Source organism: Homo sapiens, chromosome 2 (genome assembly GCF_000001405.40).
Source record: "Homo sapiens chromosome 2, GRCh38.p14 Primary Assembly".
In the NCBI taxonomy this organism is placed as follows: domain Eukaryota; kingdom Metazoa; phylum Chordata; class Mammalia; order Primates; family Hominidae; genus Homo; species Homo sapiens.
In genome coordinates this window covers 31,099,099-31,113,927 of record NC_000002.12, presented here as the reverse complement: position 1 = coordinate 31,113,927, position 14,829 = coordinate 31,099,099, and the positions used below count along the sequence as shown (strand labels likewise).

Here is a 14,829-nt window from a genome sequence, read left to right as displayed (position 1 = left end):
ATCTTAGTGCACCTGAAGGGAAAGGAATGTGCTTATTAAGGCCCACTGTTGTACTGGGGCCCATTGTATGAGGGTGAAATTTGGCAGTTACCCAAGAGACTTTCCCCCCACCTCCCTCTGTGCCTGAGTTGTCTTACTTGTGTTTTACTGTCTGCTCTTTTTGGCTGCTTGTAGTTAGAAGTGATTTCCTTGAAAATGCATGAGGCTAGAAAGGGAACTGAACTTAAAGTGGTGGTGTTTGTCCAAGATGATGATTCTCCTGCTCTGTCAGTGTGTTGCAGTCTCAGCTCCTATACCTTGTAGGAGCAGTACCACCAGCCAGGCTGTTGGTTCCTTGCAGCACCAGAAGGAATACCCTGAGCTACCCTAGCTCCAGGCTACAGAGGACTCAGTAGGCCTGTTCAGCTTCCCATCCCTTCCTCTGGGCCACAGAGACAGGAGATCCCCTCAGAACATTCTTGACGACTGGAGTTGCCTTCCTCCCAGGGGCCTCTCCTACTCTGGGCCAAGCTTTCCCCAGGATTCAGGGACAACTGATCTTGCTCCTGTGTCTGTTCTTAGATGCCATTCTCCAGGCTCTCTCTCAACCCTGCAATGACCTTCTCCACCCAGCCCGGCAGATCCTGAGGTCTCGCTTAGACTCCACACCTGTGTGCTGCTCTCAGTGGCTCCCTGCAGTTGAATTGGTGCTGAGAGAGACACCACTAGCTATCAGCAGGGGCACATTCAAACCACCATTATCCAGAATTGCTTCATCAATTTCTGAAATTTCAACAGTGAATGATAGAAACTTCCAAGCAAATATTCTTTTAAAATTTAGATTTCTTTGAAATCTAAGGAAAATGAGAAGGTTTCTATCTTGCATTTACTTCTCTATCCTGCCACAGTCTAAGAGAGGGGTTTCAGTGTTAGTTTGAAAGGATTTTATTCATTGGGAAGTGTTTCTAGAATTTTATTAGTAGCTGCATATAACACCACTGCTGCAGAGGCCTAATTCATCTAGACTGGAATTACTTCCTTACTGGGATCACTTGGGGACTTCTAGGTTTAATCCATCACAAAGTAAGAGTTCCAGAAGCACATGGGGATAAGATTCCATAACATGAGAAAGGAGGACTTGGTGAAGCATGAGGATCAAAGTGAGAATCTGGAGATAGCAAGGAGAAGGTTTGAAGTGACGTCAGGGCAGGCTGCAGGGGACTGTGGGCCCATGACAATGATAGTGGATCTTTGTCATACAGGGGATGGGGGACAAAGTGGATCCTGATTCACTGGGAAATCAGTTGGCCAAGATGTTATCATCAAATATCCTTTCCAATGAGAAGGACTGGAATATGACCTAGGTCATGGATGTTGGCCTTTTTCTTTGACGATCGTGACATCTAACAATAATTGGGTCATGAGGAGGGATTTGAGAGATCCTCATTTTTTAGCATGTGTTTCATACCAAACAGTGTGCCTGGTGCTGTCCCATACATCTCCTGTAATCTTAGCCAAGACTTTTTGTTAGGCAGCATTTTCACAGTTTACCATGAGGAATGAGATTCTGAGAAGCTAAGGGTCTATGAATACGAGGTCAGTAAATGCTATGGGACGTCTCACAAGCTGATCAGGAGGTTGGCTCCGATGTACCAGTGTTGTTGGCAAGCACAGGTTTTTGTCCAGGACTGGTTCACACGGTGCTTAGGCTAAGAAAGCAGCCACTGGCTGTTTGCTCTCCTGTGCCTGGAGCTGGGCTCATTGCTCTCTGGGAGGGGCATTTTGGAAGACACTTCTGCTGCATGGGCAGGAGCAGAAAGACAGCTGTGACCACCAGCCTTTCCCAGGGGACAGTTTTTTATGGCATTGGCAATTGAAATGGGAGCTCAGTTCCCAGACTTTGGAGGGTCCTCAATGGAACAAGGAGGGATACAAAGAAAAAAAAAAAAAAAAGCAAGTACACAGTTTTAGTGGGAGAAGGCATCCAGCCCCATCACTAGAGGCAACAGCTGTCTGTAGGACTGTCCTGTTGGTGACCGTACTTCTGATGGCCTATTTAAAACATCAAAAAATAAATAAAATATGAAAAAGAAGCAAACAAGATGTAGTAAAAGGAGGAAAGGATCAAATTGAAATTCATCTTGCATAGAAAAATATGACTAACATCGGATAAGGACCTTTGTGTGAAAAAAAAAATGTTTTAAGCAAATGTCTGTTTACCTGCAGCATCTCACTTTATTTTAAAAGGTAAAAAGCTTTAAAAGGCTGAAAAGGGATGATGCATGTCAGACTGTCATAGCGATGACGCCAGGACTCCCTATAAGGGTGGGTTCAGGGCTGAGCTTTTTTTGCAATTTGTGGTGGTTTGTTATAGTTTATTTTCTGCTTAATGGGTTGTAGTTTAAAGCCATGGGTAAAAGCCACACAGGGGGCTTATAGGAAAGTATCCCTAGTTAAACCAGCCTGGTAAATAAGCAGTTAGTCCTCCCTGCCTCTGCCTTTTGGCTTTCCTGTTGTTGATTCAGTGAACAAATTAGATTTCACAAATGTTTAGCAAACATCTGCTGTGTGTCCAGTGCTGTGCTCAGCATTATGGCAACGAAGCCTAAGCCCTGGCCCTTTTGCCTGGAGACTTGCGAAGTCCTGCAGGCTAGCCACCCCGGAAGGTCCCTGTCCTGGTGTCATTGAAGCTTGCTGATGAAGAATCCCTGGGTCTTTGTCCTTGATCCCTGCAGGCTTGTGCCCTGCAGGCTGGGTAGCTCAACAGGTAGCAGCCCCCATCTGCATCCTGGGTAGTCTGCTGGGGCTTCACAGCTGCAGCAGGGAGGATTGTGTTCTCTGCCTCATTCCAGCTGCTGTCTTTGAGAGGCCAGAGTGCCTGTTGTTTTAAATCCTCTAGCTCTGCTGAACAACCATAGGGGTAGGAGACAGTGTGTCTAACTCTGTCTTACAAGTGGGGTACCTGATTGAGGGAAGACCAGAATACTTGACTCCCAAATCATTCAGAGATTTGGAGTTAGAGTTCAAGTTCCCACCATTTTTCTCAACCCATCTGAGTCAGGATGAGTTATAGCTTTAAAAAATCTGACTTTTAAGAATGGTTTCACGTGAATCTAGTGCCTGTGTGAGAGTTGATAATACGTGTCACAGAGTCAGTTTCTCCCACTCAGAGAAAAAGACCAATCAGCTTTACATTAATTCCCCCCAGTTTTAGAACAGATGGTTTTCTGAGCACTTAGAAAAAAAAATTGTGGTGATTGCTACAGGGCAGGCATGGCTTGCCCAAGAACCAAGCATGCCGTGTGAACCTTGGTTCTTCTTTCCTGTGGTTGTTTCCCTGGGAGGTCAGGGAAGGACATAGGAAGGCTGACATCTCGCCCATTTGCTGCCATTCTCTTCCCTAGTGCTCTAAGTGGCTGCTGTGCCAGGATATGGCCACAGTCTTCATGCAAGCCAGCACCATGCTTGGTATTTCTTGGTAGGCTCTGATTTTGCTCATTGGAGGTTGCCTTCTGGGTAAGAAAGGTGATTCTTTCTTTCTGTGACTTTTTAAATCTTCGGCTTATTCAGTTTCTAAGGTGCCTAGTGTTTGGAAGTCATAGCCTTTGGAATCACTCATTGTCTACAGGTGGGACAACCATTGATGTGCTTAGCCAGAGAATAGTGAATAGAGTGCGTAGAAACAAGGGTCCGGAGGAAGCTGTGTGCTCTCTGCATTTATAATACACGGATTTAGGAGGTAAGAAAGGGAGAAGGAAGGATCTGGTGTGGCTATTCGGAGGCCTGGAATATTTTTTCAAAGAAAGGCAGTATAGAAATTAAACCAGTTTTTGAAAGATGAGGCTCAAAGACAAGGAAAGAATGGATTTGTTTTTAACGATTTCAAGTAGAATTGAGGCTGTTCCTGTGATTGTTGGAAATAAAATTGGTTAGAAAATGATGTCAGCAGAGAGTGGGGACTGTGAACCAGGAAAATAAATGAGCTCTGAAATCACCTTCTATTTTATAAATATTGTTTCTGGAGCTGAGAAAATTGAGACAGATTATTCCTTTTTCTCTCTCCCAAGCTATGGGTGGAAGAAGCCCTGAGTATCCCATTTGGACCTTGTGAGGAGCATCTCATCTTGTCCTGGCGCGCTAAGTAGCTTTGTCTGCATTTAGACACACTCCATTTCCCTTTCAAGGACCACTATCAGCAGTAGCCAATTACAAACACACCTCATAACACATTATTGAGACACACTGCACGCAAATAAGCTAGAGAGATGTTTAATGATTGTACCACATCGCGTCCATTACAATCTGTCCGCACTGCCGCAGGACGGTGGGGCCAGTTCCTGTGTGAGTGTCTCTATGTCTGTGTGTTTATGTGTATTTCATTTTCACTGCATCCTAATTAGACATAATTCGAGCCAAGCCAGTTTATACTCTCAAGGAAGGAAAGGGAGCATCATTTCACATTCTGACAGACTCCTTTTAAGCCAGACATTCCTTGTCTTTAGTTTTCTAAAAGTATCAGTGCTATTAGCAGCCTGAATTCATCTGAGAACAAGGGATGAGGCATTTTCCAACTCAATGGGTGGCTTCCTTCTGTTATCTGTTTCTCGTGGAGAAGTAAAAGGTGGGCAATTCAGAGAAATGTTACATAGGCAGTCACTTCCTCCACTCTTTCATCTGCTGTCTTGGTTTTGCAGTGAGAGTTTGCTGAATTTTATTTTCTCTGCCATTTGCCACTGCTGTTGGTTTTGAAGTAATGGCTGCATTTGGCCACAGTAACTAACAGCTGCATTCCAGGCCTGGGTGAAGTGGCAGCTGATTCACCAAGCACAAGGCCTCCCTTTATGGTGTTAGGGGTTGGAATCTGGGAATGAGATAACAGCTGTGCTGAGCAAGAGGTTAACCAGAATCCTCACTTGTTGAGGTTAGAAGCCTTTGAGTTGATCAGGTCTACTTGCCCTCTCCGTGGTTGATGTTGAGACTAGGGAGAGGAAGTTACTTTCTCAAGAGTATCAGCTGGTTAATGGCAGAACTTACTTAGAACCTGACTTCTATGCCCATAGTCCAAGCTCTTTTCAGTCTGCCTGTTCCAACCTGTGCTGTGCTTGCCTTTGTAAAATCCAAAGCTCAGTAGGGAGCAGGGAGCTGCCGACAGGAATGCTGGGTGCCTGCTAGACCCTCCAGCCATGACAGCCATCACAGAGCATGCATATGATTAATGCTTATATAGTCCTCATTCCCCAAGGACACTGTTTGTGTGCTACAGAGTCTTCTGAAAAAGGGCATATGATTTCAAAGGATTATTTTATCAAAGGATTGTTTTTATCCTCATTCTTTTGGAAAAACCGAATGCCCAATGCTCCAACCAGTGTTACCTTTCTTGCATTTTGCTCTTGAAGATCTGGGCCTTCCTTGAAGGAGTAGCATAGGGAAGAGAGAACAAACCCTTGTGTTTGCCTTTAAGTCAGCTAGAGATGTTTTCAGCCTGATGGAAAATTAAACTGGGTTAGGTCTTCTAGAGCCCGCCTGTGTAATTGAGCGGGTGACGTGTCCAGCCTCCCTAACTCGGAAAAAACTTACTGTTCACACTTCATTCATACGTTCCTTAGTCCTTGGCAAGCAAATTGCTTTTGAAGAATTTATGTTTCCATCTGCCACTTCTATTAGTAAGGGCAATATTTGTGACTGATGTAGTGATGGTGGAGTCCTGGGGCCCTGGTGATTTGATGTTGTCCATCTGTAGCCTGAAACTTCAGGGTTCATGTGGGGTCAGAGGCAGGAGTCTGGCCTTGGTATTTCCTGAATTACACTGCCTGGCTGGGGAGCCTATGTTTGCTCACAGCCAGGCAGATGGTGCCAAGTAGTGGCGTGTTCTTACTGCTACTTTTGCAGCCAGCCAGAGATATGAGACAGGACAGCTAGCTAATTGGTATTTTGAAGAATCTGCTGTGTGTTTCAGCGTGAGTGTGTGGGTTGCTGGGGAGGTGGTGAGAGTCTGAGGTGTGGGGTAAGATCCTAGTCCTAAAGAATCAGCTGTTTTTTTGGCTGATGGTCTATGGGAGAGCAGCCCTCAAGCTTTAGGGGAAAGTTAAAGGAGAAACAGGACCGAGGTGAAATCATCAGCACCATGGAAAGCACCATGTTGCTTGACGTTTAGGAAACCCTTCATAATGGCAAACAGACTTGGCCTCATGTCTGTGCCTTCCCTACTGTTCTTTGATAAGAAGAAGCTAATGAGAAGGACAGCATTTTTTTCCTTCCCATTCTGCTAATAGAGAGACTGAGTCTCAAGAGGTGACTCGTTTGAGATGTAGTGGTGAATCAGTGGAATAGGCAAATAGGACTTCCTGTATAATGTGGCTGCTGTACAAGACAACCTCTTCTGCTCTTCCTCCTGGATACCATTACAGTCTCCTTGTTGCTGGACACAACAGCAAAGAGAACAATAGAAAACTCCGAAATGCCATTTTCAGTGGAATTAGAGGATAGATACAATCTGTGGAATGTGTAATGTGTGCAAGGGCTGTCCTGAGCAGGAGGGTTTGGGAGAGGCCATGAGGGGGAAGTAGAGGTTTAGGAGAGTACCTGGTGGGCTCAGGAATAGCAGGTGGCAAAGAGTGCCAGAAAAAATACACATCCTGGATATAAGGGGCATCCTGAAGAGGCAAAGCAACATCTCTTATTTGTAATCAACGCAAATAAGGACTAGGGTGAGCAAAACTGAAGAAACGTACCTCCTGGGCCTGCTTTGATTCAGAGAAGCAGAGGAGGTGCATTTATACAAAGGATCATCCAGAAGACACCTAACTGCAAGAAACAATGTTTTTGGCAGCAAATAAAAGAGGCTTCCTTCTTTCCTTCCTTAACATGTTTGTTGAGATATAACATACAGGAAAGCACACAAATATTTTTCAGTTTGATAAACTTTTGTGTAACCACTATTCAGATCAAGGTACAGAATCTTTTCAGCAGCCCAGAAATCTCCATGTGCCTCTTTCTAGTCATTAGCTCTCCTCCACAAAGAAAGCTTACTTCAGTAATGAAAGTCTACCCTGGGCCCTCCTTCCATCCTCAGAACTTCCTGCAAAGAAATGATCCAAGAAAGCCCATCTCATACAACAATAAGTAATAAAAAAGAAAGTAGGATCATTGGTAGATTAGAAGCAATGATATTAGGGGGAAGAATGTCAGCAAGAGCCACGAAAATTACCCCCAAATAAGGAACATTCCCAGGAAAATAATTTCAGGGAGCAGATGAAAAGTCTAATCAAGTATTTCACAGTGAATTTAAAGAACTCAACAAAGCAATCATTTCTGTGAAGAAAGACCCAACTTGCAGAGGTAAATGCTTGGGAAAGGATGACAAAATGGCAAGAGGTGGTGAAATGTGAGCTGGCAGAACTCAAGGAGGAAATAAAAGAAAAAAAGGCAAATTGGTCTCAGAAATGAAGATGAAGTTGGAAGAATCTCAAGGGAAAATAGACACTGTGGAAAATGCAGTGTGGAACATAGATGAAAGGTGAATAAATGAAACATAAATAAGGGAAGCATTAATAAAGATTAGAGAGAAAATGATTGACATAGAAGACAGGCAGTGGAGAGCCAGCAGAAGCATAATTTTAGTTCTTGAAAGAAAACAAAAAATAACAGACATAAAAAATAGACACACAGAAAACACACACAATGGAACATATTTAAAATATTAGGAAGGCTTTCATGATCTAAAAGAAGACTTAAATCTAAATGTTGAAAGAGCACGAATTTGGGTGTTGGGCAAAATTATCCAGAACAGCTCATACCAAGATTATAGCCTTGGGAAGTTTTAGACACGAAAGATAGGGAATAACCCCTCCCCTCCCCTTGCCTCCTTTTCCTTCTATGAAAGCAGGGTAGAAAAGTGGGTGTGGAGGTGGTGGGCAGGGGACATGGCTAGAATGGTTGGAAGATTGGTTAAGAGAAAGGATAATTTATTGAGCAAGTAAATAAATATAAAGAGGATAATAGGAACCGTGTTTTTTACTGTTTGAAAGGGGATTTCTAAACATGGAAAGAAGGAAGGCTAGAAAAGTCCTAGCATGCTGGATTGGAATTAGAAGTGTCAGTATGTACATATATACATACATTTTTTTCTTAACTCCTTCGTCCGAAAGCAGTGGAACTCCAGTAGCAATGAGTGCATGGTGAGTACTCAGACCTTGGTTTCTTTTTTTCTTTTTCTTTTTTTTTTGAGACAGGGTCTTGTTCTGTCACTCAGACTGGAGTACAGTGGTATGATCTTGGCTCACTGTAACCTCTGCCTCCAGGTTCAAGCGATTCTTTTGCCTCAGCCTCCCAAATAGGTGGGATTACAGGCATGGGCCACCACACCTGGCTAATTTTTGTATTTTTAGTAGAGATGGGGTTTTACCATGTTGGCCAGGCTGGTCTCGAACTCCTGACCTCAAGTGGTCTGGCTGCCTTGGCCTCCCAAAGTGCTGGGATTACAGAGATCTTGGTTTCTAAATAGTGCCCTACACTGCAAGTTACCAGGGGGCCTCAGAGAAGTGGCTAACTTAAGGGATAGGGCAGAAAAAGTATAAAATGAACCTGAAAGACCTTGTCTTGCCAGAAAGTCAGGAAATGCTCAAGAAAAGATGGGGATGTGTCAAAAGGACACAGGAGCTGGCTTGAAGGACTTTCCACTGACCAATTGAGAACAATATGAGCATCAAAGTAAATATCAAATAATCAGAGTATTAGATTACAACCTATTGAATAAAATAGGAATCTGTAAATCCATACTGTTATAAATAAGTGAATGAATAGATACATAGACAAGTAAATAAGTAAGTGCAAGAGAAGAGACTCTTCCTTACCGAAAAATGACAACTGATAAATGTAGAGAGAATGATGGAGATACATATTCACCACTTGGTCACCGTAACTGTGGTAATTGGTAGAGATTGGTAGTTGCTGATGGGTGCTGTCCTGTGGGTGGAGGTTTCATAAGAAATAGCATATTGGCACAATATTAGTAAAGCTTCCCACAAAAGTGTAACCAAATAACATGGAAACATGGTAAAATTTCAGTGGCAAAATTTGGCAGACACCAACTTGACCAGATGATGAAGGTTAACATCACTAGTGGTGGACAGGTTGAGCTAGTGTGCCCCTGGATGTGATGGGCTGAGAAGAACACAGCATCATTTCTGTTGTGCCAAGAATGCATGGCTTGTATCTGGTTGTGAGGAAACATCAGATGGACACAGGCTCTACAGAAGGAAAGGTCTGTACTGTTTCAGACTTTCAAAGATTTGAGAAACAGAGAAAGACTGAGGAATTCCTCCAGACTGGATGAGACTGATGAGAGATGACAACTAAATGCAACATGTGTTGGTAGATAGGATCCTGGACCTGGAAGTGAAAAAGAGACATTGTTGGGATATTTCAGAAATTCGCATAGGATCTGTGGACTGGGTCTGTGCTGTATCATTGTTGATTTTTTGACAAGGAGTGCTGTATGGTGACTATATAGGAGAAGGGTCCTTGTCTTTGGGAGGCATGCACTGGAGTATTTAGAGATGATGGGAACATGTGAACAAAAATGTATATCTGTTTCTATCTTCTGTCTCTACAAAAATGGGGAAAATATAGCAAAATATAAAATGTCACCATCTAGAGGATTTGTGTGGAGGAGGTGTAAGAATTTGTACTGTTCTTACAACTTTTCTTTAGGTTTGAAATGACTTCAAAATTAATAAAGAATGGTGAAGTAAACAATAAATAAAAAGAGAGACAGAAAGAAAGACTCCATTGGGAATCCAGGCAAAGAGATCAAGTCACTTATGAGGAGAAAAATACCAGGTTGGCCACAGTTTTTTCTGCAGCAACTTCCAAATACCCAGAAGACAGCGAAACAACATCTACAAGATAAGCAAAGAAAGAAAGTGTGAGCCAACGATTTATATCCATTCTAGCCATCTTTTAAGTACAAAGACAATTGTAAGACAATTTTTGGACATGCAATAACTCAGGGAATATTGTTCCCATGAGCCCTTCCTGAACAAATTAGTAGAGGGTGAACTTCAGTCAACAAAGTGAAGATGGAGGGTGAGCATTGAATATTTTTAACTGTAAAACTAAACTAAAACTAAAAGTAAGACAAGTATGAGGATTAGAAGAACAGAGGAGAATGTAAGTGTTCTGTGCCCTGGTGATGTAGAAATGACACAGCCAACAAATATTGAAAGGCAAAGGGGGAAAAAGGAAGTTCTCTGAATGCCTCATTCTATAATAGCAGGGAGTAAAAAGGTATAATTGAGAGCTGACAAATGAAGTAATATAAGCATAATTATACTTAATAAATGGTAGACACTTAGAAAGAGGATGTTATTGACTAAAATCAGTTGGTGGAAGTGAGACAGTAGCATTGCCAGAGTAAATTGTGCCTAGGGGCTATGTAATGTGTGTGTGTGTGTGTGTTTCCTTCTTCTCTATACGCAGCTGCCATTGTGTTAACATCTCTGTGCACTTTCACAACTGGCTGTCAGGATGTACGTCTCTTTCTCTCTCCACCCCAATCATGCCTTTTCTATGCTTCTGTGGAAAGAACAGTGAAAGGGAATACACCAACTTTATCTTTGCTTGTAATGTAGAGTTAATAAGTCTTGTCTAGAGACATAGGTTAAGATTATTATATCATGTTGTAATTACGAATGTTACCACTAGAATAAAAACACAAACCTTCCCAGAAGAATCACACTGGAAGAACAATCACAGAAAGACGAAAATAATGCCAAGAAACCCAGAAGACATAATATAAAATGAGATCTAGGAATAAGCCTATTTGTCATATCTAAATATAAATGAATTTAACTTACTTTTTAAGAAGAGTTTCAGAAAGGATCGCACACCACAACCCAATTCTAAGTTGTTTATAGAGATGCCCCTAAAGGAAAGTGATACAGGAAGGTTGAAAATAAAAGGATGAGTGAAGGAACACCAGCCGAATGCTTTAAAATGTTAATTTAAAATAGAGATATAAAAAGTAGTAGTTATGAACTTGCATTAGACAAAGTGGAATTCAGATTAAAATGCATTAAATAAGATAAAGGAACTATGTATAAAAGGTACATATCACAATGAAAAAAACAGCAGTATTGAAAACACAGAAATTTTAGGAGATGCAAGGAGAAAATAGACGAAAACACGCTGGTAACGGATCACTTTAATTTACATGTCTCAGTCTCCAGATACCTAGACAAAGAATAAAAATCAATATGGAAGCTCTAATTAACATAGGTAATAAAGTAGATCTGGTTGATAAATAGCAAACCCTGTAGATTAAATGAAGAAAATATATCTTTCAAGGGTCTATGAAACATTCACAAATATTGACCATCTATTAGGGAACATAGATAACCTCAATAAATCCCAAAAGGTAGAAAAAATACAATATTCTCTGATTACAGTGCAATTAAACTGGAAATTAATACTAAATCATAAAACCAAAAGCCCATTTAACTGAAAGTAAAATCCAAACAAAACAAAAAATACTCAATGCATGGCTGAAAGAGGAAAAGAAAAACTGAAATTGCAGATTTTCTGGAAAACAATTAATGAAATCACTCAATAGCAGAACAAATGTTATATAGCTAAAGCAGTACTCAGAGGAAAACTGATGGCTTAAATATATACACAAAAGAATGATCAAACATGAATTAATCATCTAAGTCAAGAAGCTATATCAGAATAAAATGAAATATTGCAGAAGGAAAGCAGAAAAAAATAAATAAAAGAGATTAATGAGTTAGAAAACAAAGCAGTTAAAATAAATTTCAAAGCTGGTTTGGGGGTGTATTAGTCCATTTTCATGCTGCTAGTAAAGACATACTCAAGACTAATTTATAAAGGAAAGAGGTTTAATTGACTCACAGTTCAGCATGGCTGGGAAGGCCTCAGGAAACTTACAATCTTGGGGGAAGGGGAAGCAAACATGTCCTTCTTCACATGAAGCAGCAAGGAGAAGTATGAGTGCCCAGCGAATGGGGAAGCCCCTTATAAAACCATCGGCTCTCATGAGAACTAATTCACTGTCACAAGAACAGCAGCATGGGGGAAACCACCACTATGACTCAATTATCTCCACTTGGTCCCTCCCACAATGTGTGGGGATTATGGGAACTAAAATTCAAGATGAAATTTGGGTGGGAACACAGCCAAACCATATCATGGGGAAAAAAACAACAATAAAATAAACTACTAGTTAATCTAATCAAGAAAATGTGGGAGCAAGTGCAGATGCATACAATAAGGAATGATATGTGGAGAACAGTGGCATAAACAGGAAACTAAAGGAATCAGGAGACTACTTTGTTCAGCTCTATGCAAATAGGTTTGAAAAGTGGATTTTTTTCAAGAAAATAAAAATTACCCAAATGGGCCCAGAAAGGAATCCAAAATTTCTAAGGCAGAAATTTTTTTAAAAAATTTAAATAGGTATACATTCTTCAAAGAAAAATGCACTAGTCCAGAGCATAGAACTCTGTTCTAGAGCATAGAAAAAGAAGAGAAACAAGCATAACTTTTACCAAAACCTGACAAAGTAGGCACACATGGAAATCCAAAGACTAATCCCACTTATGAATATCAATTCAAAGATCATTTAAAAAGTAGCAAAATAATTTCAGCAGTATATTTGAAGACTAATCCATCATAATCAAGAGGGTTTTATTCTTGGAATGCATATATGGTTTTATATTAGTGAACATTAAGAGAAAAAAGATATTATCTTCATAGATACTGAAAAGAGCTTTGAGAAACTTCAATGATCATTTTAAAATTAAAAAATACACTCAAGAAAGCTTGACTGGCTAAGGTTATTCTGGTGGTCCCTGACTCATGATGCTTTGATACAATCTTTTGATTTTATTATGGTAAAAAAAGAATATGCCTTCAATAGAAACCATACTTTGAGTACCCATGCAACCACTCTGTTTTTCACTTTCAGTACAGTAGTGAATAAATTATCGGAGATATTTAACACTCCATTATAAAATAGGGTTTGTGTTAGATGATTTTGCCTAATCATACGCTAATGTAAGTGTCCTGAGCTCACTTAAGGTAGTCTTGGCTAAGTTATGATGTTCAGTAGGTGAGGTGGATTAAATGCATTTTTGGCTTATGATATTTTCAACTTATGGGTTTATCAGGACGTAACTCTACCATAAGTCTAGGAGCATCTGTATAGTTCAGGTATTTTTTTTTTTTTAACAGGCTAAAACACATCCATCTCAGGCTATAAGCCAGCATTATGCTTATTGAGGAAACACTAAAGGAATTATCACTAAAGAACAAGGATCTATGCTATTAGTACTGTTACTCCTCATTGCACAGGTGATACTTACCAATGCAATTAGACAAGCAAAAACAGTAAAAAAGAGAGGGAAGAGGCAGTTGTTGCTGTATGAAGATGCTGTGATTGCATGGCTAGAAAACAAAAGATAATTAACTGAAAAACTGTTTCAAACAATAAAAGAATTCCATAAACTAACAATGTGCAATAATTAGTAAACATAAATTAATACTTTTCACATATACAAACACCAAACAGAATACAGTAAGTCCTCAACATTGAGGATAGGTTCTTGGAAACTGCAACTTTAAGCAAAATGACATGTAACAAAACTGGTTTTTTTCTCATCAAAGTTATAACAAAAAGATGTTGAAGGAAATGGTATTCAAGGACTTATTGTACATCATTGTGCTTAAAGTCACAGTTTCCAACCACCTATCAATGATGTTAAGTGAGGACTTACCGTATATTTTTAGAGGAAGAGCCATCACTTACAATAACAACAAGAAATGTAAAAGAACTAATAATAAATTTAAACAAAAAATATCCAGGGTCTATATGAAGATTTAAAAACACTACTAAAGTATATAAAAGGATCCTGAAGCAAATGGAAAGATTGCTCATGGATGGAAAAACAATAGACATCATTCTATTTAAGTTAATTTATAAATCAAACACAATCTAAATAAAAGTATCAATAGATAATTTTCTAAAACTAGTTAAGTTTGTTTTAAAGTTCAAATAAAAAGGTAAATAAAAATAGAAAAATTCTGAAAAAACCCATATGAGGTGACTGGCGCTACTAGATATTGAATTTATTATAGTGTGTCATTTATTGAAACTGTGTGCTACAGAGACATGCACACATAGTTAAAAGGAACCAAGTGGTTAGTCCAGAAATAGATCCAAATGCATATGATCATTTAGTATTTGACAAAGGTAGCATCTTAAATCATTGAAGGAAAAGATTAAATATGTTCCACTGGGATATCTGGTAGCCCTGTGGGTGAAAATAAAATTGTATCCATACCTCACACCATGTATACACCAAGATAAGATTCCAAATGAAAACGAAATGTAAAGGTAAAAGCAAGACTATGAAAGTACCAGAAGGAAACACACAGGGTGCCTTTCTAACCAAGACTTAAATCTTGAAACCATAAAATAAAAATCTGATATAACTGAGTAAATAAAAATTGAAGGAAAAAAATCTTCTAAGTAGCAAAAAGAATCTACATAAGTAAACTGAAAAGACACATGACAAAGGCCTAATCAACTTAAATAAAGAGTTCCAAAGGGTCAATAAAAATGAATTTCAATCCAATAGAAAATAATAGGCAAAGGATATAAACGGGCAATGCACAGAAAAAGAAATATGAATAGACCTAAATTTGTTAAAAGATGTACTTAACATTACCTCATCAAAACTCAAAGCTATATAGGAATAGCATATTTTATCTATCAGATTGCAAAATGAAGAAAAAAGGGCAAGCTGCACAATAGTGTGTATTCTATACTAA

At 39.8% G+C, this 14,829-nt stretch overlaps 1 protein-coding gene across 9 annotated transcripts in view, besides 1 other annotated feature; it reads left to right on the top strand.

Annotated features, from left to right (window-relative positions):
• The window catches only part of GALNT14 (polypeptide N-acetylgalactosaminyltransferase 14), a 251,659-nt gene that overhangs the window by 24,513 nt on the left and 212,317 nt on the right, over nucleotides 1-14,829 (top strand). The gene's annotated exons all lie outside the window — the stretch shown is intronic.
• Nucleotides 5,870-6,371: an enhancer, noted in NCBI's record as "NANOG hESC enhancer chr2:31330423-31330924 (GRCh37/hg19 assembly coordinates)". NCBI's record gives its function as "activates a minimal SCP1, AML or CMV promoter by ChIP-STARR-seq in primed H9 embryonic stem cells {active_cell/tissue: H9 hESC(primed)}" and the evidence as "EXISTENCE:reporter gene assay evidence [ECO:0000049][PMID:30033119]".